Here is a 21,277-nt window from a genome sequence, read left to right as displayed (position 1 = left end):
AAGTCTTGATCAGCAGCATGAGAAGAGACTAATACAGAAGGGTTGTTTTATCAAAACAAAGCATCTCTCTAAAAATGGTGATGTTCCCTGACCAAATTTTGATGGTGGAGGAATTAGATTATTGGGAAGCACTCTGTAATGAAATGGCCAGGCACTTTTCTTTGTTTTCGCTGGCTTGTAGGAGCTGGTTGGCTCCACCAAACACTAGGCCTAGAACATTCTTGGGCTGACAGAACCCCCTCCTTCACCTTACTACATTTGTTATTTCCTTATTTATTATATTCACGGTCAAGATACTGTGGTTGGGTCTTGTGTGTATGCATGTGCACTCATGGGAAAGCAGAATTATGAGGGAAAAATATCTATACTTTCTAAGCAATTTATAACTGTAAAATAGTAGATACGAAACATTAATTTCATCATTCCCAGATGATTAGATAAATGATAATTCATTGTTAGGTCTTTAATTTATTTTTAGCTGAAGTAACCATGTGGCTTCTTTAGTGGATACCCTTGAACGTATGGTGGCTTTGATTTCTCTATTCCACAAAGAGGGGATTCAGAAATTCGTGACAGCAAAAACAATATCCCACATAAGGTGGCATCAGGTACTCTGTCTCTCAGAGGCCACTTGTGGGGCAGGGGGATGGAGTGAAATCCTCCATTCAGGGCCTGGAGTGGTCACCCACAAGCTTGTGGCTTACAGGTCAAGTCACCCTGAGCCATAGTTACCTCGTCAGTAATACATGGGATTGGCTCTATGACTTCCAGCTCTCTCAGGTCTGTACCTCTGCAGCTCCATCTGAATGACGAAGTCTATTGTTGGCTGCTGGATGGAGAGTAGAAAGTCACTGCTCATGTCTTACTTGTCCTGTTTTGGAAGGACTCCAGATTTGTAAATCCCTTAAAGGAAGTACATGATTTTCAGAAATATCTTCAGGGAGGCCCTGCATTCTAGCCTAATTTTTCAATTGCAGCTATAAGCATGTAGCCTGAATTGGCTCCTGCAATCTCATAGATGTCTCCTTCCCAAACATGCTCACAGAGGCAAAGGTTAGAAGATATGGATCCAGGGTGATTTCCCTCTGGTGTTTGCTGGCTCTGTAGAGCTGGCCAGCCCTCTGCTCTGGGCCGCTGTTTGATTTGGCCTTTGCTGGCGAAGCTCTGGGAGGTGGGGCAGATGCTGCCCTTCTGTATGCAGCCTGAGAAAGTCAACATTGAAAAATCTGTTTGGTTTTTGGCCTCCACCTGTTGGAAACTCTGTAATTGTTGCCATTCACAATAAGGAAGAAGGAACAATAGAGGGATTCCTGTATTAGAACAGTGAATGTTTTCATTGTTCCTCTAAGGGGACCAATAATAGGAACTGGGCTTAAGTTAGAGTTGAAAGCAGCAAGTGAACAAGAAAAAACAAAGAAGTTACAGATGACAGGAGGAAGGATGCCATAGAGCATCAAGGTGACTCTGGAAGAGGGTAGCACGCCTCATTGGAAGTGTCCCTGTGCCCTTCAAGCCAATTTTCTACTCCCCCGACCCCTGACACTGGCTCTTCCCTGCCCCACCCCAGAGGAGGCAGCAACTCACAGCACAAGCATCTAAATGTTACTTACCCCACCAATCAGCCCAGACCCTCCAGCCATTACCTATTTTCTTGGTTCATAGATGAAACAGGGACTATGATCTGGGAGCTCTGCATCCACTTTCCTCCCACCACCTTGCTCCCATCCTCACTCATCTTTACCTCCTCCCCCTGCTTCTGAGACTTCTGGGCTCCTCCTAAGCCCTTGTCCTCGCCAGTCCTTCCTGCCTCTTCTTATACCAGGGCCATTGACCCCTCCTCACTCTTCATCCTTTCTCTCTTCATCAGATTCTTAACCTCAGTCTACAAACCTCTTCCAGTCTCCTGCTTGGTTCTTCTGTTCCTCTCTCACACTCTTTGTCCCCTCTACTGACAGCCTCCTTGAGAGTGGTACCTCCTTACTTCTCCATTCCTCACTTCCATTTATTCCCAAACAATTGTGTTGGGGCTTCCAGCACTCATCCAAAAAAAAGAAAGAAAAGAGAACACAACCGAAAATACCCTGTTCTTGGGCCAATGGCCTTCAAACTGCCAATTCCAATTCTAGGCTTTGCCATATGTATTTACCTTTTGTATGTTCACTCAATTGTCATGACTTAGATGCTTATTATATGTCAGAATGCAGGCCAGGAGGACACCAGATACCCCTAATAAAACCCAAGTTTCCTTTGGATGAATAGCCCATTAGGTTTTGTCTGCCAATTGCTTTTCAGTGTGGATCACTTTATGTGCCCTTTTCTGGAAGTTGACTGGGTCTGGGCAGGCAGCAGAAAGTAGAGTCCACTGGCAGTCTGGTGATCGGGGACATGAGATCAGGGACATGAGTCCTGGGTTGGAGGACATGAGAACAGCTTAGGGCTCCAATGACACACATTTCCTGGTGTTGACATGACCTAGCAGTGGCCTCTTAGGGTGGCAGGGTTTGCAGCTGCTGTCTGGGGCTACAGGCCCTGGTGCTAAACCAAGGCCATCCTCCCACCAAGGAGCACAGTGGTAAGTCATTGGCAGCTGGGCAGGTTGCACAGCTGGGGAGGATGACCCAAGTGAGCTGAATACTGGCCAAGGTCCTGTTCTTCTTTCACGGCTACCCTGCTTCTGTCACAACCCCCATCGTACTGAACTGCAGTTGTCAACTCCCTGGCTGATTCCCTGTGAAACAGAGCTCCTAGGGAAGAGCCTAGGTCCAGACCAGCTGTACAACTTGAATGGTCCAGTGTAAAATACAACTTATATGGCCCCTTGTTCAAAAATTGTTAAGATTTCAAGAAGGTGGCAGGACAGCATTAAACTCTGTATGAAGCCCTTCTAAGTGAGTGGCCTATGTCAGGGGTCCCCAACCCCAGGCCACAAACCGGTAATGGGGTACTGGTCCGTGAACCCTATTGAGAACTGTGCATGTGAGGGATCTAGTTTGCACACTCCTTATGAGAATCTAACTAATGCCTGATGATCTGAGGTGGAACAGTTTTATCCTGAAACCATTCCCACCCCCCACTCCCACCCCTGGTCCATGGAAAAATTGTCTTCCACGAAACAGGTTCCTGGTTCCAAAAAGGTTGGGGACCTCTGGCCTATGTGACTTCATAGGTCATATGCCCAGGAAGCCAGCCTTGCCTCGGTCTTATTCGTCACCTAGAGAGAGCTCAATAAATCCTCATTGAATAAACGAGTTTGGGTTTCTCCTGCAACACTGAATCATGTAATCATGGGGAAAGAGGAGGTGGAGATCCTCATCCTTCCCATGGTCCAGGCTAGCTCCATAGCCTGGGGCCAATCAGTGAGTATCAACTGTGCCTCAGTTTCCTACATCCATACATTGGAAGAACCATCTTTTCCCTGTCGCTTTTCTGCCACGGGCCAAGAGTAAAAGAGGCACGAATGTACAAGCTGAACTTGCAGCAGTTAATGTGATGGCTCTGTGATTCTGAAGGGCACCATGAGGCGTGGTGTTCTGTTAAAGAAAACGCCAGCAAATTAGAGACATCCCCATAGAAGCCAGAAGATGTGGTTAATGTTTGCAACATGAAATGTCTAGGTGTTCTGAGGTGGGCTAAAGGACAGTTGCTTTTCTTCCCTATTAAATAGGTGGTTAGACTCAGACACAAGGGAACAGGAAGCAGAATGGCATCAGAGACAAAGATGACTGCATGGAGTTTGGTGAGAAACCATCCTCAAAGCAGCAATTTTTTGGATGAGTCTCAGCCTTTCTGAGCCTCTGTTATTCCAACTGTGAAGTGATACAATTAACAATAACAAAAATTTGATAAGAGCAAATACATTTGGCATTTTTAATGAACCTACTACTATTCTAAGCCCTTTAAAGATACACATTTATTTCGATTCATAGAACACCCCATGATGCAGGAGCTGTTACTATCCACATTGTACTGATGGAGAAAGTTCCAGTAACTTGCCAAGGACGTAGCTGGCAAGTTGGAGCACTGAGATTCAAACCCAGGGCTTTGGCCTCCAGAGTCTGTGCACTAACCACTGTAATACCTCTGAGACTGTAAGGGGCAAATGAATGACAACGCATTGATTTAGAAGTGAAAGGCGATCTAAACGTGCAAGTATTAACACTATTAAAAACAACAATAACAATGGTAGGTACCTCCGATGCCTCTGACCTTATCTCTCTGGTCACAGTTTTCTGCTCTGTAAAATGGGTGGGCAGGCTTTACACTGGATAATCTCTGAGGCCCCTTCCACTTCTCAGATTCTGATAATGAAATGTCCTTCTTTCCTCACATAAGGCTGAGAGAAGGTCAAGCCACCAGCTTGCAGACCTTGGGAGTTGACACAGGGAAGCATACCCAGGACAGAGCCAGAAAAGCCAAGGCACGCAGTAGGGACACACCAGAGGGCAGGCCTCAGAGCCCCTGACAGCCTTCTGAAACTCTGGCAGGGTGGAGGGAGGTTGTGGGCTAGTGGCTGGCTGGGCTGCAAGGAGAAGAAAGGACTCCACAGAGTAATTTATAACAGCTGCTCAGTAAGTGCTAATTTGTTTCTCTCCACCTTGGAATAGGACTTAGCGCGTGTGAGAGGGGGATGCTACTACATAAACCAGTACCAGAAAGATGGGCTTGCCAGGAAAGAACTGGGGCACTCTGCAGGGGCAGTGTCTGGGGAAGGGTTCTCCAAAAAGGTGACATTTCAGAGGGGCCTGGATGGATGAGTAGGATTTCAACAGGCAGAGATGAAAGGGGAGGGTGTTCCAGGCAAAAAGAAGAACTCCCAGCAGCCATGAAGAACAGCTGGTGTTTGGCAACAGCTAGTGTGTCCAGAGCGAAAGTGTTGTGTGTGTGTGAGGGAGAGAGGGTGAGGCTGGAAAATTAGGTTGTGGCCGGAGAGGGCAGGGTGGGCCTTGCCTTGTGCGCTAAGCTGAGGGGTTATCCTGCAGCCGGAGCACCTCGGGAGGCCTTTGAAGATTTACTCAGTGCTTTATTAACAAATACGTATTGGGTTTTTGGTGTTTTGTTTTGTTTTTAACGATTCATGCCCACAGTAGAATATATAGAAGAGTCAGAAAAGTATAAAGAATAAGGATCCCCTTTAGTTTCTGCTCCCAGAGGTAACAGCCGGAGTGACGCCGGGCTGCTGCCGGGTTTTCGGGGGTGCACTCCCAGACACCACCTCTCCAGTGAGCCAGCGAGGGCCGGACTGATGCCCCACCTTGGGAGCCTGAATCGGGGCAAGGGGCCTAGGGAGCAGCGGGACCCCGGAAGCCCGACCAGTCAGGCCGGCTAAGTCGGCAGCCGCCCCGCCCTCGCCACCCAGCCTCCCTGGCGGCCTCAGGTCGCGCCTGCAGGCCCGGACCCCACCGCTTGGCGCGCGCACGTCCCGGAGGGCGTCCAGGGGGCGCCGCTTCCCGTTCAGCTCCGCTGAGGGGCTGGTCCAGCCCGCGCGGCTCGGAGCGGAAAGAGTCGGGCGGAGCAGGCGGCTGCTTGACAGCTGAGAGCCGAGCGGGCGGCGCGGGCAGGTCCACGGGAAGCCTACACGCCCAAGGTAACGTGGAGGAAGGTTGAGGGTGGGCGGCCGGGGCGGCCGGGGGGCGGCGCTTCCTGCCTGCTCCTCCGGCTGCGAAGTGTGAGCGCGTGTCTGCCGCACATGGAACTCGCAGAGGGCCTGGATGGAGGCTGTGTGCCCTTGGGGGGGAACAGCTGGCTCCCCTGCCACCCCCAGGCCTGGCCTGGCCCTTGCTCCCCTCCCTGTCACTCGGTAACGGGACTGGAGGAGAGCCGAGAAGCACTAGGGTTTTGGTCAGGAAAGGACCTTAGGAACCCTCCAGCCTCATCCAGCCTCTTCATTTCACAGATGAGGAAACTGAGGCTCAGAATGGTAAAGTGACTTGCCCAAGGTCTCAAGTCTAAGAACCAAAACTCCTACCTTGCAGGTCAGTGCTACTAGGAGCCCTGGCCACGCAGGCAGCATCCACAACTGTTGCCATGCCGAGAAACAAAGAACCGAGACAGACAGTCAGAAAGACACAGAGAGAGAACCTCCCAGAGCAAAGGAAGGAGGTCAGGAAGTGGGCGGCTGCTGGGGCTTGGCTTCCGCCCTGGCCCCCGCGTGTGCTGGCCTGGCTGTGTGGCTCAGAGGCGTTGTGCTGACTCTGTCCGTGTGTGTGTGTGTCCGTGTGTGTGTGTGTCTGTGTGTGTGTGTCCGTGTGTGTGTGTGTGTGTCCGTGTGTGTGCGAGTGTGTGTCTGTGCACCCATGCATGCACGGGATGCAGCGAATGTACCCTGCCACGTGGGAAAGCCCTCTGAGTTCATTTATCTGTTTACACAGTGTGCTTAGGAACCTGCCCTGTTTGGCTCTGTGGAGGACACCAGGAGTCTCAAAGGAATTCGTTCTGTGTGACTCAAGAGGACAGAAAGAGCCAATCCGTGGGAGTCCCCAGGGTGGTCAGAGGGTCAGGAGGAAGAACCTAACTCATGAGGTGATGGGTTCCTTGTCTCTGGAAGAAAGCAGCATGTACCGAAGAGTCTTTTTATCAAGGATGTGGGCATAGGGATATGAAATCAGAGCAGTTTGCTCCACGTGGAATCAGCATTTTTGTTGAAGGGTCCAGAGTTCATGCCCCTTTTCAGGTGAAATGAATATGTACAACCTCATGGTTTAGTATTTGCCCATAAGAGCTACTTCATGCGCAGTTTTTAAGTGATAAGTGAGAGGCTTCAGGTATGGCTTCCGAGGTCCTGTCACCTCTCGGTTCTATAAGTGAGAGGCTTCAGGTACGGCTTCCGAGGTCCTGTCACCTCTCGGTTCTATACTATAAAGTGTGTAGAGGGAGTTTGGAGGAGGGAGGTTACTTCTGGAAGGAGTGACTCGCAGAGGGCGTCCTGGATGTGGCACTGAGGCCGGGCCTTGAATAGGAGGCTGGGTCTGGGCATCTTGGGGAAGGACGGCTGAGCAAAGCCGTGAAGGTGGGTTGTACCTGAGGAGCAAGGAGTAATGTAGTGGACAATCCGGTGAGGAGTGCTGCCTGGGAGAGATGGCAGAGGCTTGGAGTGTTACGAGTCTAGAAACTTCATTATTAAGCCTAGGGATATTTTGATGGTTTCTAAGAAGGGAAGTGTTGTTCCTGGAGCTGGGTTCAGAAGAACATGTCATCTGCACCTGGGTATGGGATGTACTGCAGTGGAGGAAGCTGTGGGAAGAGAACCTGGGAAGAAGCCCATTGCAGTCACCATGAGGGGTTGAACAGGGCTGGTGGGAATGGACAGGAAGGGGCTAAAAGGCTTGGGGGTAGGGGAAAAGTCATCTGCCATGTGCCAGGGCCTGTGGTAGGAGATTTTCATGTTTAATCTCATTTAATCCTCCTGACAACCTCATGAGGAGATTGCTATGATTGTTCCATATTGTAGAGGAGGAAACTGAGAGAGAGGTTAGGTGGTTTATCCAAGGTCATACAGAAAATAAGTGGTGGGATGGGGATTTTAACCCAGAGAACAATGGAGTAGATGCAATCTGGTAACTGAATAAATGTCAGGGACCAGAGCAGAAGAGACCAAGATGATGGCGATTTGGATTCCAGAGTTAGAGTGGCTGGTGATGCCACTGACAGAGATGGAACCCCAGGTGTGGGGGGTGATTGGAGATGCGTCACGCTGTGGTGAGCCTGCAGAAGGCAGGCCCCAGCACTGGGGCAGTGGCCGCAGTAGCCATCCATTCTGCCTTGGGGCTCCTTGTTGCAATGGTTTGCTGAACCTGTTGTGGGGAGGGAGGGTTGAATCTGCAGGCTGCCTGGGTACTGGCAATGCAGCTGAGAGAAGCTAGGGGAGAGCTAGTGAGGGATTCCTCAGGGACAGGCTAATCACCCACTGAGTTCACATCTCTCTCTTGCTTTTCTTCCACACAAAATAGTGTCTATTTTGTTGCAATGCACAGAGGACTCAGGCACTTGCCATGATACCTTAGGTGAGAATTAGTTCAGATTTTATATTTTCCAAGGCCCTGTTTCCCTCGTATGTTTCCCCTAGAGAAGAGCTAAAAGATGTAATTGCCAAATATTGCAGAATATTGCAGAATTCAGGATCTTAAGAGCAGGTCCACGGCCTCTTACAATGTCATAGAATCACGGTGTTCTAGAGACAAGTCTGCCCTATTTTACGGATGGAGAAACTGAGTCTTTGCGAAATCATGGTCCTTTGTCAGCTGTTAGTGAGTGGCAGAAATGGGTCCAGGCCCTTGGGCTCCAGAGGTTTTGCTTTCTGCACTGACACACATGGAGGCCGCTGTCTTGCAGAGGAGCCTCCAGGGTTTCCTGTAAAATAGCCCTGGGGGCCAGGCTTGGTGGCTCACACCTGTAATCCCAGCACTTTGGAAGCTGAGGCGGGTGGATCACCTGAGGTCAGAAGTTCGAGACCAGCCTGGCCAACGTGGCAAAACCTCATTTCTACTAAAAATACAGAAATTAGCTGGGCTTGGTGGCAGGCACCTGTAATCCCAGCTATTCAGGAGGCCAAGCAGGAGAATTGGTTGAACCCGGGAGGCGGTGTTTGCAGTGAGCTGAGATTGCGCCATTGCACTCCAGCCTGAGTGACAAGAGCGATACTCCGTCTCAAAAAATAAAAATAAAAAATAAAAAAAATAGCCCTGGGGACAGTTCTATAGACAGGTCTAGCATTCAATGGACCATTTCAAACTGGTACACTTTTTGTTCCTACCAACACAACACACACACACACACACACACACACACACACACACACACACACACAAAGAAACAGCAACAACAACAACAACAAAAACCAGCACATTGTTCCACTCATCCATCTATTGGTCATTTCTTTGCCTTTTCAAATCGCTTCCTTTCCTCTGAGAGAAATTTGATAAGGCACAGTTTAGTTAGAGCCATAAAGGGTTCCGTCCAAGTACAGGGTCAGGGGGAAGTCCCAATAAAGCCAGACGGTACCTGTGTGCACCAGCAGAATCCTAAGGCACGGACAGGGAAGCAGGAAAGGAGAGGATGGCTGTAAGGATCAAGGAAGGAGAAGAGACAAAGTGCAGAGAAGAAGGAAAAGAGGAAGAGCTGAGTTTGTGGAGCAGACAGCTCAGTGGCATGGGCAGAACCTACTTTGGGGACCTATATTTTGGGAACCTGGCTCCCCAGTACTCAGAGGCAGCATGAAGCAGGGAGATAACCAGGTGGACATGAAGAAGCCAAAGGGAGTCACTCTTATAATACATCATCCAACCTCGGGCACTGCCGGGAGTGAAAGGGGGAATATTCATAGCAATGCTGGGACCACAAGCATAGCCAGGATGTTCCAGGCAAACTGGTCACCTTCACAAGAGCAATGCAAAGAAAGTGCCAGGCATGGCCCAAGGGCTGTCCATGTATTCCCTTATGGAAGCCTCACTACAACCCAATTGGCTAGGCACTGCCATCATGCCCATTTTATAGAAAAGTTAACTGAGGAAGAGAGAGGCACAGTATCATGTCTATGGTCACACAGCCGATACACGGTAGAGGCAGGATTTGAACTCAGGCAGCTTGGCTATTTCAGAGCCTGCACTGTAAGCGTTATGCTCCATTGGCTCTCTACTCACCAACAGCATCCACACAAAGACACCCCCTTCCCCTCACAGGACTCAGGAGAGGGACCTTTGGGGTCTGTTTTCCCTCACAGCTGCTCCAACTGGTCAAGTTAGCATGACGTCATCCGGATGACATAAACAAATTTGCAGTCAGGCTGAGGTGAGGGGGAGGACAACCCTCAGTCAGGTTTGTCCTCTACAGGCTCCACACCTTGTACACAGTGCTGAGTCTTGGCCTCAGGTGTTGGAGTTCTCAGTCATCCTTGCCTTGTAACTGCTCTGCCCTTTCTCTGAAGGCTGAGTTAGATACAGGAAGGACCTCTTGAAGTTCAATATTAGGGACGGGTTCCTCTAGGACCTCATCTGCCTGGGGCAACTAGAGGGTGCCACCCTGTGATGACAAAGTTATCTCCAGGGCCTCTTCCAGCTTGAGGGCTATAGAATTTTCTTTTGTGACAGATTCTTCAGGAGACAGAGCATCCCCCTTGTCGGTGTGTTTTGGCTCCCAGCCCTGGCTTTCTCGGAATGCCAGCGGGACACTTTCTTCCCTTGTCTGTTTGTTGACACATCCTGGATGGGGCTGGCCAAGGGAGGCATTTATGGGGCAGCAGGCTCTATGGTGGGTGGAGTCTGACTCTGGGTGATGCTCCAGGTGTTTCTAGAAGATGCATGGAGGTAGGAGCAGGCAAGCTTCCCCTGTGGTTCAGATTCCAAGGGCCTCTGTCCCCACCCCATCTGTGCTGAAGATCCCTTATTCACACAATAGAGCTGCCCTGCCTGGGGGTGGAAAAATGTGAGGCTGGGCCTGAGAACTTGTGGGAAAGTGGAAACCGTGTTTTACCCAAGCAAGTCCCAGCAGTGAGGTTGGATAGGCTTAACACCCAGTCCTGTGCTCGTAGTGTACCCCTGAGCCTGTGGAACTCTGTGCCCTTCTGGGTGCACCCCTGAGCCTGTGGAACTCTGTGCCCTTCTGGGTGTACCCCTGAGCCTGTGGAACTCTGTGCCCTTCTGGGTGCACCCCTGAGCCTGTGGAGCTCTGTGCCCTTCTGGGTGTACCCCTGAGCCTGTGGAACTCTGTGCCCTTCTGGGTGCACCCCTGAGCCTGTGGAGCTCTGTGCCCTTCTGGGCTTAGTTAGAGGAAAGGTGAGAAGGGTGAGACGTAGCACACGTGCTACAGGTGCACCAGGACAAGCTGGAACCAGCGGGTGTGGCTGCCCTCCTCCCGGAACCTGCACTCGTGTTTCTGGCCAGACAGCTTCCTTTACTCTCTTTTAAACTCACAGCAGCACCAGGGGACGTGGGAGGTTGGCTACCATGACCCAATTACCAGTGCAGACAAGAGGAAAATCTTCTATTACCTGGGTGATTGGTTTATTTTCACTTTGTTTACTTTAGAGATTGCTCAGCATTGAGGTCCAGGATTTGTAGTCCATCAGAGTTCTCTTGGTAAATGGATGCAGCTTTGCCACATTGTCCGCTGCACATAACCACATACCTTCACCCACTGGGATAGAGGGTTGGATTGGTGCTGATGCGGGAGGGAGGCCAGCTTCCTGCAGCCCCACCTTGACCAAAGACGGAACTCCAGGGACTCTCTTTCCACTGCACCTCAAGGTTGATGCACAGAAACACACTGGGCATGGCTGAGAGTTTGGCATAAATGAACTCATCTTTGTAACCGTTTTATGAAATAGGCACTGTTATGATCATCCTCCCCATTTTACAGATGAGGAAGCCATCTTCCTCATCTGTTTCAAGAGGCTGAGTAACTTTTCCAGGGTCACACAGCTGATAAGAGGCCGAGCTGGGATTTGAACCCAGGCAGTCTGGCTCTAGGGCCAAGTCCTCAAGCGTTCCACAGCCTGCCGCCTCTGAATGCTTAGTGCAGAGTCTGGGTTCTACTCTAACCAGTCATATGTCTTTGGGATTAGCCTCTAAACCTGAGTTTCTCTTCTCTTCATTCAAGTGAGAATACAGGAGTTACCTGTTGATCCATGTCAGGTGAGTTAAGGGATGTGAGGAAGCACGTGGTCCACGCACATGTGATCCCATGGGTCATGGTGACATTACCTGTTTTGAGAGCTTGTGGTTGAGTTCCATGCTAAGGGTGTACTCCTCCCCTTGTTGGTCCTTCTCAACCAACTTGTTGAGATGTACTCCTCCCCTTGTTGGTCCTTCACAACTTGTTGTGCTTGTCTTGGATTGAAATTCTCCAGGAGGCAGAAGCAGAGTCTCTCACCTAATTAGCTTCCATGCATGCTAAGTCCCTGCTGTGCCAGCAAAGGGTCCTGCAGGGGGTCTGGTCTAAGAAGAGAGGGGTGGTCCCTGTAGTAGGCATGCATACTCCCTTTGAGGGGATGTCTTTGTTCTGGCAGACAGAACAAAATATCACAGACAACCGAAATTTATTTTCTCACAGTTCTGGAGGCTGGAAGTCTAACATCATGGTGCCAGTTTGGTGGGTGAAGGTTCTCTCCTTGGCTTGCAGAAAGCCACTTTCTTTTTGTGTCCTCACATGGCACAGAGAGGGAGAGAATGGGAGAGGAAGAAGGGAGAGGGAGGGTGGAGGAAGGGTGGGGAAGAGGGAGGAGAGAGAGATGGGGAGAGAGAGAGAGAGAGAGAGCTCTCTGGTGTCTCTTCATGATGGGCACTAATCCCATCATGAGGGCCCCACCCTCATGACCTCATCTAAACCTAATCACCTCCTAAAGTCCTCACCTCCAAATACCATCACATTGAGAGTTAGGGCTTCAACATATGAATTGTCGGGGGGACATAATTTAGCTCATAGCAGGAGATGATATGAAAAATAACCAATGATGTTAGTGTTTATAGGCAAGTAAGTAAAGTATATTTCTCATGGCTTTAGAGAGGAGGTAGGATTTGAGCTGCACCTAGAAGTACAGCCCAGGCTGGGAAGCATTTACAGCACAGGGCCCTGAGGCACAGGAACAGCCCTTCACCCCCTCGACAGGGCCATGCCCTTCTGAAGACATGAATGGGGTCAGGGAGGTCAGCGGGAGGGAGATGAGAGACACTGGCCAGAGAGACACCTCCTGCCTTCAGCCAGGTTTTGTTTTTCTGTAGGGAAGGAGATGGTTTGTCAAAGATACTATTTCTTTTTTCTTTTCTCTTCTCTTTTCTTTCTTTATTTTATTTTATTTTATTTTATTTTATTTTATTTTATTTTATTTTTTGAGACGAAGTTTTGTTCTTGTTGCCCAGGCTGGAGCGCAATGGCATGATCTTGGCTCACTGCAACCTACCTACACCTCCTGGGTTCAAGCGATTCTCCTGCCTCAGCCTCCCAAGTAGCTGGGATTACAGGCATGCACCACCATGCCTGGCTAATTTTTGTATTTTTAGTAGAGACGGGGTTTCTCCATCTTGGCCAGGATGGTCTCAAACTCCAGACCTCAAATGATCTGCCTGCCTTGGCCTCCCAAAGTGCTGAGATTACAGGTGTGAGCCACTGCACCTGGCCTAAAGCTACTATTTCTTAACCTGAGCAGGGCTGAAATTTTAGGGGCTTTCTTCCCAAGGCAGGTTTTGTGAGCAAGACAGCAGCAGCGCCACCATCCCCAGAGGAGGACACGGTGGGATTGAGGGAGGAGGAGTTCTTGGAAGTTCATTTCTGTGGGTAGTGTCATCTGAATCACGGTCAGAAATTGCCATTGGGGAGATACCATCAGGGATAACACATTGTTCAGCAGAAGAACCTCTAGATCTTTCAGTGGTGCCATGGCCTGCGGTAGCTTTTTGGTTTTCGGGTCTTCTGGGAGTTTGGATTGAACAGACACCCCGGATACAGATCATCCACAGGATGGAGATCTTGACTCACAGGGCCTTTGGTGTGGCATCTGGGTGCATGGACACAGCCTTCCCTACAGAATCCCACAGAGGGAAGGCCATCCAACTCTTCTTTATGTTATTTTTATTGGACTGTCTTCAGTGGGCAGAGAGTTGAGGTTTAGGGTTTTTTGTTTGTTTGTTTTTGGATCTTCACTGTTTCATTGTGATAAAATATACATAACATAAAATGTATCATTTTAACCATTTTAAGTATACTGCGCAGTGGCAGTAAGTATATTCACATTGTGAATTGTTTCCTCTTCTCAAACTGATGGGGTTGGAGAAGGTTTGGTTTTAACTGTGGCTCCAGGAAGTCATACAGTGATACCGTCTCAGTTCGCTCTCTGCACAATGGCCTCACCATCAGATGTCCTGTCGACTTGGGTAATCTTTCTGCTGCCATTTCTCTCTTATTCCTTTCTGTTTGTTTGGGTTTAAAAAAAAAATTATCTGCTTCAATCAAAAGCACTTCTGTGAGACTGCCCTCCTGTGGGCTAAGTACTTTGTACAGAACCTTGCATATTTCTCCCCAGGGTCCTGTAAGGTAGTATGATCACCCACCCTTTCCAGATGAGGAAAGTGAGCACCACAGATGTAAGTAACATACCCGAGGCAGTGTAATTTCAGAGCTGGGACTTGATTCTGGACTCTCTGATTCTTCCTGCTTCATCTAGACAGGGGTGTCATTGTACAGAGTCAAGCACAGCTTCCCTGTCTGGGCACATTAGTGTCTACTCGAGAAGGTTTCTAGCATCTGCACGGATCTGGGTTTGTATTATGTGAACCATGTTCCATTAGGATTCTTCACTGGGGCCTTTAGCCAAAAAGGATTCACTTAAAAATAGCTTCATTACATACCACAGATAAACTGCTAATGGAATTTACCAAACTGTTAAATTAAGCTTTTCAACTAATTACACACATACTATGAAAGTGTGAGTTTAGCTTTGACCGTGGATTCCTCCCAAGGCAGAGAATTGGTGCACGTTCTCTGGCTAGCAGGGGTTTGGTCACCATCTCAGCTCCTGTTCTTGGTCATGATCTGTTTTGCTTTCCTGTCCCCTCTTGGTATCTCACCACAGCTTGATTCTGCATTTACTCAGGACACAGTTTGTTCCTAGGCTGTGGTTGTCCTGGCCACAGATACTACAGAGTGTATTTGCTATTTCCCCAGCGAGCATTCTTTCTGGCATCTGACACATCTTCTGCGACGTGTCCTCTGGCACATTTCCTATTGCTCGTCATTACCCTCCCCATGGACTGCAAGCCCCTACTGTGTGTCTCAGAACTCAGATTTTTGGGTTGAACTTTCTTTAGGGCACAGGGTTCTGATGTGGCTTAACTCTGGGAATGAAGTCAGCTGGGGAAACAGCAAAGCATTCAACAAACTTCTGGGTGGGCTGCATGCTTCATAATAAGATAATTTGTCAAATGCCTGCCATGTGCCAGGCATTTTCTGATATAGGTCTTACCATGTCCTTTTTACAGTTGAGGAAACTGAGGCTCAGACAGGTTCAACAACTTGTGTGGGTTCACACCAGACACCTAGTCCCGGTATAGACACCTGCACCGTGGACACCTCCCCCAGGCTGTTGATCCCCCTGTGCCTGACTGGCTTCCTACAAAGGGCCGACCCCTTGGGTTGCAGGGTCTGCTTCATAACAGAGCTCTCTCCACACGCCTGTAAAATGGGAGGCAGAAGCCGCCGACGCCGTATCAGGTGAGCTGCCCCAGGCACAGGCCATCCAGAGATATAGGGATGGAAAAGGCCAGTTTAAAAGTCTGATATAGTACTTCGTTTTAAGGAATGCAGTTTTAGTACATTGAACTGCAGCTTGAAGTGGAACCAGAGACACAAAAAGGAACTGCCAGGTAAAATGAGTGTCAATGAAAAAAGAAAAGTTACTCAGCTTCCATTACGTAGTCACACATCGCAAACTAAACGTATTTTTAAAAAATGTACAAGCCCTATTTACAGAAGTTTGAAATAGAATGAAAAGTTCTAATTTGTACTCAATAGCAGTTAGATTGTAACACACACCACATCTGAATTTTCTGACACTTTAGGGGTTACATTGTAGTGATTTAGTGCCAATAAAACAAAAAACAAAATGGATTAATATGTACTTGTTGAACACCTACTGTATGAAGTGCTTTGTACTAGGAAAAAGAAAAAGGGACACAGTATTTCTTTTGACCAGACACAAGCGCAGAGAGAGCTGACCTCCCCAGATAGCATGTATAACTTTTGCCAAGGAGATGGGACAGAATGAATGTGCTCTGGAAAGAAACTGGGCCTTGGAGAGGGCTTAGCCAAGTAGGTGGGAACTGAGCTTTGTCTTCAAAGATGGTAGAATTCAGCAGGTAAGTGGTGACAGGAGGTCCTGGGAGGACTGTTCCATGAGTGTCCTTCTGTCCATCTTATAGACAGTGTCTGAGGGTCATTCTTATGGAAATTAAACCAGTGACGTTCTGGCCAGGCTGTAGAATGTGCCTACCAATATTTGTAAGGGTCACACTCTCCTCCTGCTGGCCTTCACTGACTAGTTCATAATCTAGAAGGAAGTGAGATTTCTCCCAGCAGGGAGCCAGGATTCAATTCTGGACTTTTTGATCCTTCCTCCTTCGTCTAGACGGGGATGTTGTCAAATAGAACCTAGCACAGCTGGCCCCGCCTCTGCATGTGCTCTGGAAGGTCTCTAGAATCACCACAGATTTGGGCATGTATGATGTGGACTATGTCCCATTAGGATGGAGATGGTATTCGGAACCCTGTAGAAGGTGCCAGAGAGCTATAGAGTGGAAGAAGATGGGACCACCCTCAGAGACTCACCCTCTCCTTATACAGTTATCCACCAGGAAAAGCCAACCAAAACCGAATGAGCAATGCCCAGATGGTAAGTCTTTTACCAACAGGCCCACTATTGAATTCTTTCATGCCTGCTGCCTGATTTCTTTTCAGTCCTGGTTATAGAGCCAAAGGCAGCTGTTCATGATTTGCCCATGTCCTAGGCCTGGGTAACGGTGGTTAGTCCAGCCCTCCCTGTCCTAACCTCAGATGTGCATTCAACCCCAGCAGCCACACAGCCTGTCTGCAACCTGTGAAATGGCTGGGCTGTCTCAGAGGTGCTTTGGAGAGAAATGTTAACTAGCAGAGTGACAGTCATGGGTGACTCTCTTGCCCTCACTGAGAGGACACATGTGCCCACTTCATTACTGCAGGCAGTTAGCCTGTGAACTCCAGGCTGATTGGGCCTAATTGGAGCTCTTGAGGATGTGTTTTCTTTTTGTGGACTAAGATGTAAGCCATGTCTCCTATCCTCCTGCCCTGTCCCATTCTGAATGCAAATGCCGATGTGATGTGACTCCTAATGCTGTTCCTTTAGGAACTGGTCCACAGAAGCTGGAAGCGGGCAGACAGGAAAGTCAGAAAGCTCAGGTGGGGAAGCCATGCTAGGCAGCAGCATTGGGTGTGAGGGAGGAAGAGCGTGTTTTATGTTCAGCTTCACCACTTGCTCTCTGTGGGCCTCAGTTGCCTCATCTATAAAAGAGCTGCCCTTCATGTTCCTTAGGGAATTTATAAGGATGGAATTAAACAGTGAAAATATGAAAGTCGTTTATGAACAGAAAGCCTTTTAAATGGGCGTTGCTTATTTTTGTGCAGCAAAGTATTTTCCATTCATTCATCAGTTTGGCTGAAATTAACCTTTGCTTCTTATATCATTATAATAGATCCATTTAGCCTTGGCTCAGTCATCAGTGTTTTTTATCAAACAGGTGAACTGCACAATTCAGTTAGGTGATTGAGGCTCAGCCGGTGCCCCATAGCCCAGAGCTCTCCGGCCTGTCACATCAAGACCCTCAGGAGGAAGTAGGAAGGGGTCCAGGCTGACTGGGACCCTCAGAAATCTGGGCTATGTTTCCAACCAAAATAGCATGGAGACCCCCCTGAAATAGAGTGGGAACTAAAGCCTACAGAAAGTGGAAAATGGAAAAATGAGGCTTTGTTACTTTTAAGAAAGTCATTCTGGGTGTGTCCTGCTATCTGGAGCTTCTGCCTTCCCTTTGCAAATATTTGCCTAGGGATGTAGAGGGTGGAGGCAACCATGGAGAAGAAAGGAAGAAGGAGGGTGGGTGTTCTTGAGGACATATGTGTGGTCAGACAGCTGTCAACTCAACTTGGTGTAAATTCAAGTCACTTCTCACTGAGAGCCCACCATATGCAAAGCTCTGCACTACAAGCTGGTACAATTATTATTTTCCTTAACTTAAAGGTGAGGAAACTGAGGCTTATAAAGTAGCTAAGCAACTTGCTCGAGGTCACATGGCTAGTAAGTGTAAAACCAGAATTCAAATCCAGGCACTTGACTGCAGAGCCCACTCAATAACCATAATGGGTTAAATTATGTACACGGAGATGATCTCTCTGTTGATGAAGGTGTTTGCAATTCACACAGCAACCCACAGACTCTGCTTTCAAATGTGTACAGCAATGCAGTAAGGTATTAGTACTGAGTATTATACACTTGGCCAAGCATATTAAATAAAATTATGACTGTGGAGGCACTTAATACATTGTAAAATGCTCTACAAATATGATATAATTATTGCCTCATAAATAAAATAAGAGGGGTTAAGTGGCTTGCCCAAGGACATGTAAGTTGCAAATGCCGAGTAAGGACGCCACCCCAGGACGTAGAACTTAGAACTTCAGGACCAGTGCTTTTTGTTTCCTTGACACCATCAAGGAAAGATTCACTCTGACTTTATCTGTTTCCCCGGAAGTGTTGCCAAATAAAAATTGGGCAGAGACCCTAAAGAATAAGCTAACTTTTCTTAGCTACCTTTTATTAACTTTGGCTTTCCTCTCCTTTTTCATTCCCTAATCAAACTGAGAGTAGGGTCATGGAAGAAGCTGGGGGGCTCTCCAGCATGGGGGTTGGGGTAGCAGAAGCTGCAGAGGGATCATTTTTGATCTCCAGGGATCTCCTAGTTGAAAGGAGAGCCCTGGGCAAGGATGTGAGGAAAGAGGATGAGCAGGATATGTCGTTTTGCAGTACGGATGGACCAGCATCTATTTTATAACCTCATAACACTGTGACCACAAATTATTTTAAAATTGTGAGTTCATCTAGAATCTGGGGTATATCCCTGGGGCTTGTGTCTATGCATGCAATAATTTTTTTTTTTTTTGAGACGGAGTCGCTCTGTCGCCAGGCTGGAGTGCTGTAGCGTGATCTCGGCTCACTGCAACCTCCAACTCCCTGGTTCAAGCGATTCTCCTGCCTCAGCCTCCTGAGTAGCTGGGATTACAGGTACGCACCACCATGTCCGGCTGATTTTTGTATTTTTAGTAGAAACGGGGTTTCACCATGTTGACCAGGCTGGTCTCAATCTCCTGACTTCATGATCCACCCGCCTCGGCCTCCCAAAGTGCTGGGATTACAGGCATGAGCCACCGTGCTCAGCCAGTATTTCTTAAATAAAGAGATCATAAATATTTTGTTCAAAATATCTTAGGCCTGATACTGGAAAGATGAAAATAACTGCTGAACACGAGTTCATATTTGTACAATTTGAAACAGTGCCAGAATTTTATCTTAGAACTGAAGCAAAGGGAGTCATTCGTTGTTGTTAGCAATGTCTTATTTTTAAAATGTATTCATTAATTTTAAAAGGGATAAGAAATTAACATTTACTTTACACCTTCCAGATACAGAAGCTATGCTGGGAGCATTCGTAGGTATTTGCTCATTTATTCCTCAAAAAAATGCTCATATAAGTGACACTGTTAGATGAATTTTTAAGATGAAGAAATCAAGACTCTGACAGATTAAGTAATTTGATTGAAGTTTCTCAGATAGCAAGAGATGGCAGCAAGATACCAGTATAAGCATGTCTGACTACCAATCTGTAACTTTTTCAACAACACACTGAGAAAATCCATTTTCAGCTTCTTTGTTTTTCATTTCTTCCTTAATCTCAGATCTTTCACCTAGATTCTGTCTTTTTCTGTTTGATGTCTATCTTTTAAAATTTTCATTTTCAGTGAGAGTCTCCATGTGGCCAACTCCCAGGTTTTTTTTTTGTCAGATAATGTCTTTATTTCTCTTGTTCTTAAAGGATATCTTTTTAAGTATAGAATTCTCAGAAGACAGTGACATGATTTTAGCATGTTGAAGGTATTTTACCACTGCCTTCTGTCTTGTTCATCACTGATGAGAAATAACCTGTTAATCCCTTGAAGGTAATTTCTCTTTTCTCTGTGCTGCTTTTAAGACACTCTCTTTGTCTTTGGTGGTCTAAAGCCTCACTGACATGTGTCTGCTTATGGATTTCTTTTTATTTATTCTTCTTGGGATTCTTGAATATGTGTCTTGGTATCTTTCATCACTTTAGAAAATTCTTAGTCATTACCTGTTTAAATATTCTTTTCCTTCTCCTTCTGAAACTCCAAACAGATGTATGTTAGACTCTTTTTCATGTCTCTTAAGTTCTCTTTCATATTTTCAGTGTCTTTGTCTTTTTGTGCTGCATTTTGGTTAATTTATTATTGACCCAGCTTCCAGTTTACTGTCTGTTTCTCAAACTGTATTTAATCTGCTCTTAAGTCTATCCACAGTTTGAAATTTCAATTATTTATTTTTTTATTTCTAAACATTCTCTTTGGTTCATTCTTCAAAACTTCTTGGTTATTCCTCATGACTTTTTGTCTCCTGCACATAATCTTCAAGCTTGGCTTTAATTTCTTTGAATACATTACAGTCATTTTTATGGTCAGTATCTGGATATATATTATCTAAAGAAGCCCCTGGCCCGTGAATTCCTTCCTTTCTTGTCAGTCCATCAGTGCTTTTGGAAATTAAAAAAAAATTTATATAAGACTTTTTAGTAGTTTCTAGTGGTAAGGTCCATCTAGGTACTTAGCCTGCCATAATGATGAAAATAGAAATCTAGCATGTTGTTGGAAAATTGACAAAATTAGGAGAGGGAAAACTGATCAGATGGAGATTGGCATTAGGAGCCTAGAATTGCCCACATGTACTGAATGCACTTTATGAATACCCTAAAGAGTGCATAGGGTGTTGTGATGAGAAGCCACTCGCCATGGGGCTTGGCCAGCCTGGCACCCCACCCCACAGGACATGACACCAGAAGGAGTGTCACCAAACAAGGTGAGGAGATTTTCAGGAGGCCTATTTAGAAGACATCATTTTATCGATGAGAGGCTCCTTTAGGAGAGGAAGGCTTGGTAGGACTTGTCCTCTAGTTCTGATCTGAGCCCTACAAAAGCCAGTAGGACTTGATGCCTTGGAATTCAAAGGATATGTGTTCTTCCATCCCAGTGGCCTTGTGGGAGTATCCAAGAATAGATGTAGATGGGACCACAGAGTCCATGCTGGCCTCAACTGCTCCTTCCCCCCACTTACTACATCCCATTGGCCACCCAGTCCTCTTGATTCCACCTCTAAATAGCTCTAGAATCTCTTTACCTGCACCTACTTCTGCTGCCATTGCCCTGGTCCAAGATGTTGCCATCTCTTGCCTGGGCTGTAGTGATTCCCCCAACCAGCCTCCATGTATCCACTCCATATCCCTCCTCTTCCAATTTCATTCCCCACAAGCAGCCAAAGTCATCTTTTTAAAAATGCAAATCAGATCATGTCTCTCCCAACCTTTTAGATTTTAACTTTAGTGATTTCCTCTGGCTTGTTGGGGTAATGTCCCAAATCTCTAACCTGCCCATCAAGTCCTACTCTTCAGCCTCATCTCCTACCACTCTCTTCCACATTAGGATTGTT

At 47.3% G+C, this 21,277-nt stretch overlaps 1 protein-coding gene and 1 long non-coding RNA gene across 12 annotated transcripts in view, besides 1 other annotated feature; one reads left to right on the top strand and one right to left on the bottom strand.

The window, feature by feature from the left end:
* Positions 1-433: 433 nt before the first annotated feature.
* Positions 434-2,036, bottom strand: LOC107984495 (uncharacterized). 2 transcript variants are annotated; one of them, XR_001748963.2, is made up of 2 exons: positions 1,891-2,036; positions 434-1,202 (listed from the first exon to the last, which is right to left on the bottom strand). It is a non-coding gene; the product is annotated as an uncharacterized LOC107984495 (long non-coding RNA). The 2 variants fall into 2 exon arrangements; XR_001748964.2 differs by having other exon boundaries at positions 434-903.
* Positions 5,256-5,755: a silencer, noted in NCBI's record as "silent region_4142". NCBI's record gives its function as "represses an Ori minimal core promoter by ATAC-STARR-seq in GM12878 lymphoblastoid cells {active_cell/tissue: GM12878}" and the evidence as "EXISTENCE:reporter gene assay evidence [ECO:0000049][PMID:35858748]".
* CRACR2A (calcium release activated channel regulator 2A) overlaps positions 5,490-21,277 on the top strand; it is a 137,782-nt gene continuing 121,994 nt past the window's right edge. For all 10 annotated transcript variants that reach the window (XM_011521034.4, NM_001144958.2, XM_006719021.4 and 7 more), the window contains exon 1: positions 5,490-5,584. The gene's annotated coding sequence lies outside the window, so the exon portion shown is untranslated. The remainder of the gene's footprint in view (positions 5,585-21,277) is intronic.

The sequence above is a fragment of the Homo sapiens genome, chromosome 12, assembly GCF_000001405.40.
Source record: "Homo sapiens chromosome 12, GRCh38.p14 Primary Assembly".
Classification (NCBI taxonomy): domain Eukaryota; kingdom Metazoa; phylum Chordata; class Mammalia; order Primates; family Hominidae; genus Homo; species Homo sapiens.
Note: the sequence above shows the minus strand (reverse complement) of the source record. Positions and strands in the feature narration are given on the sequence as shown.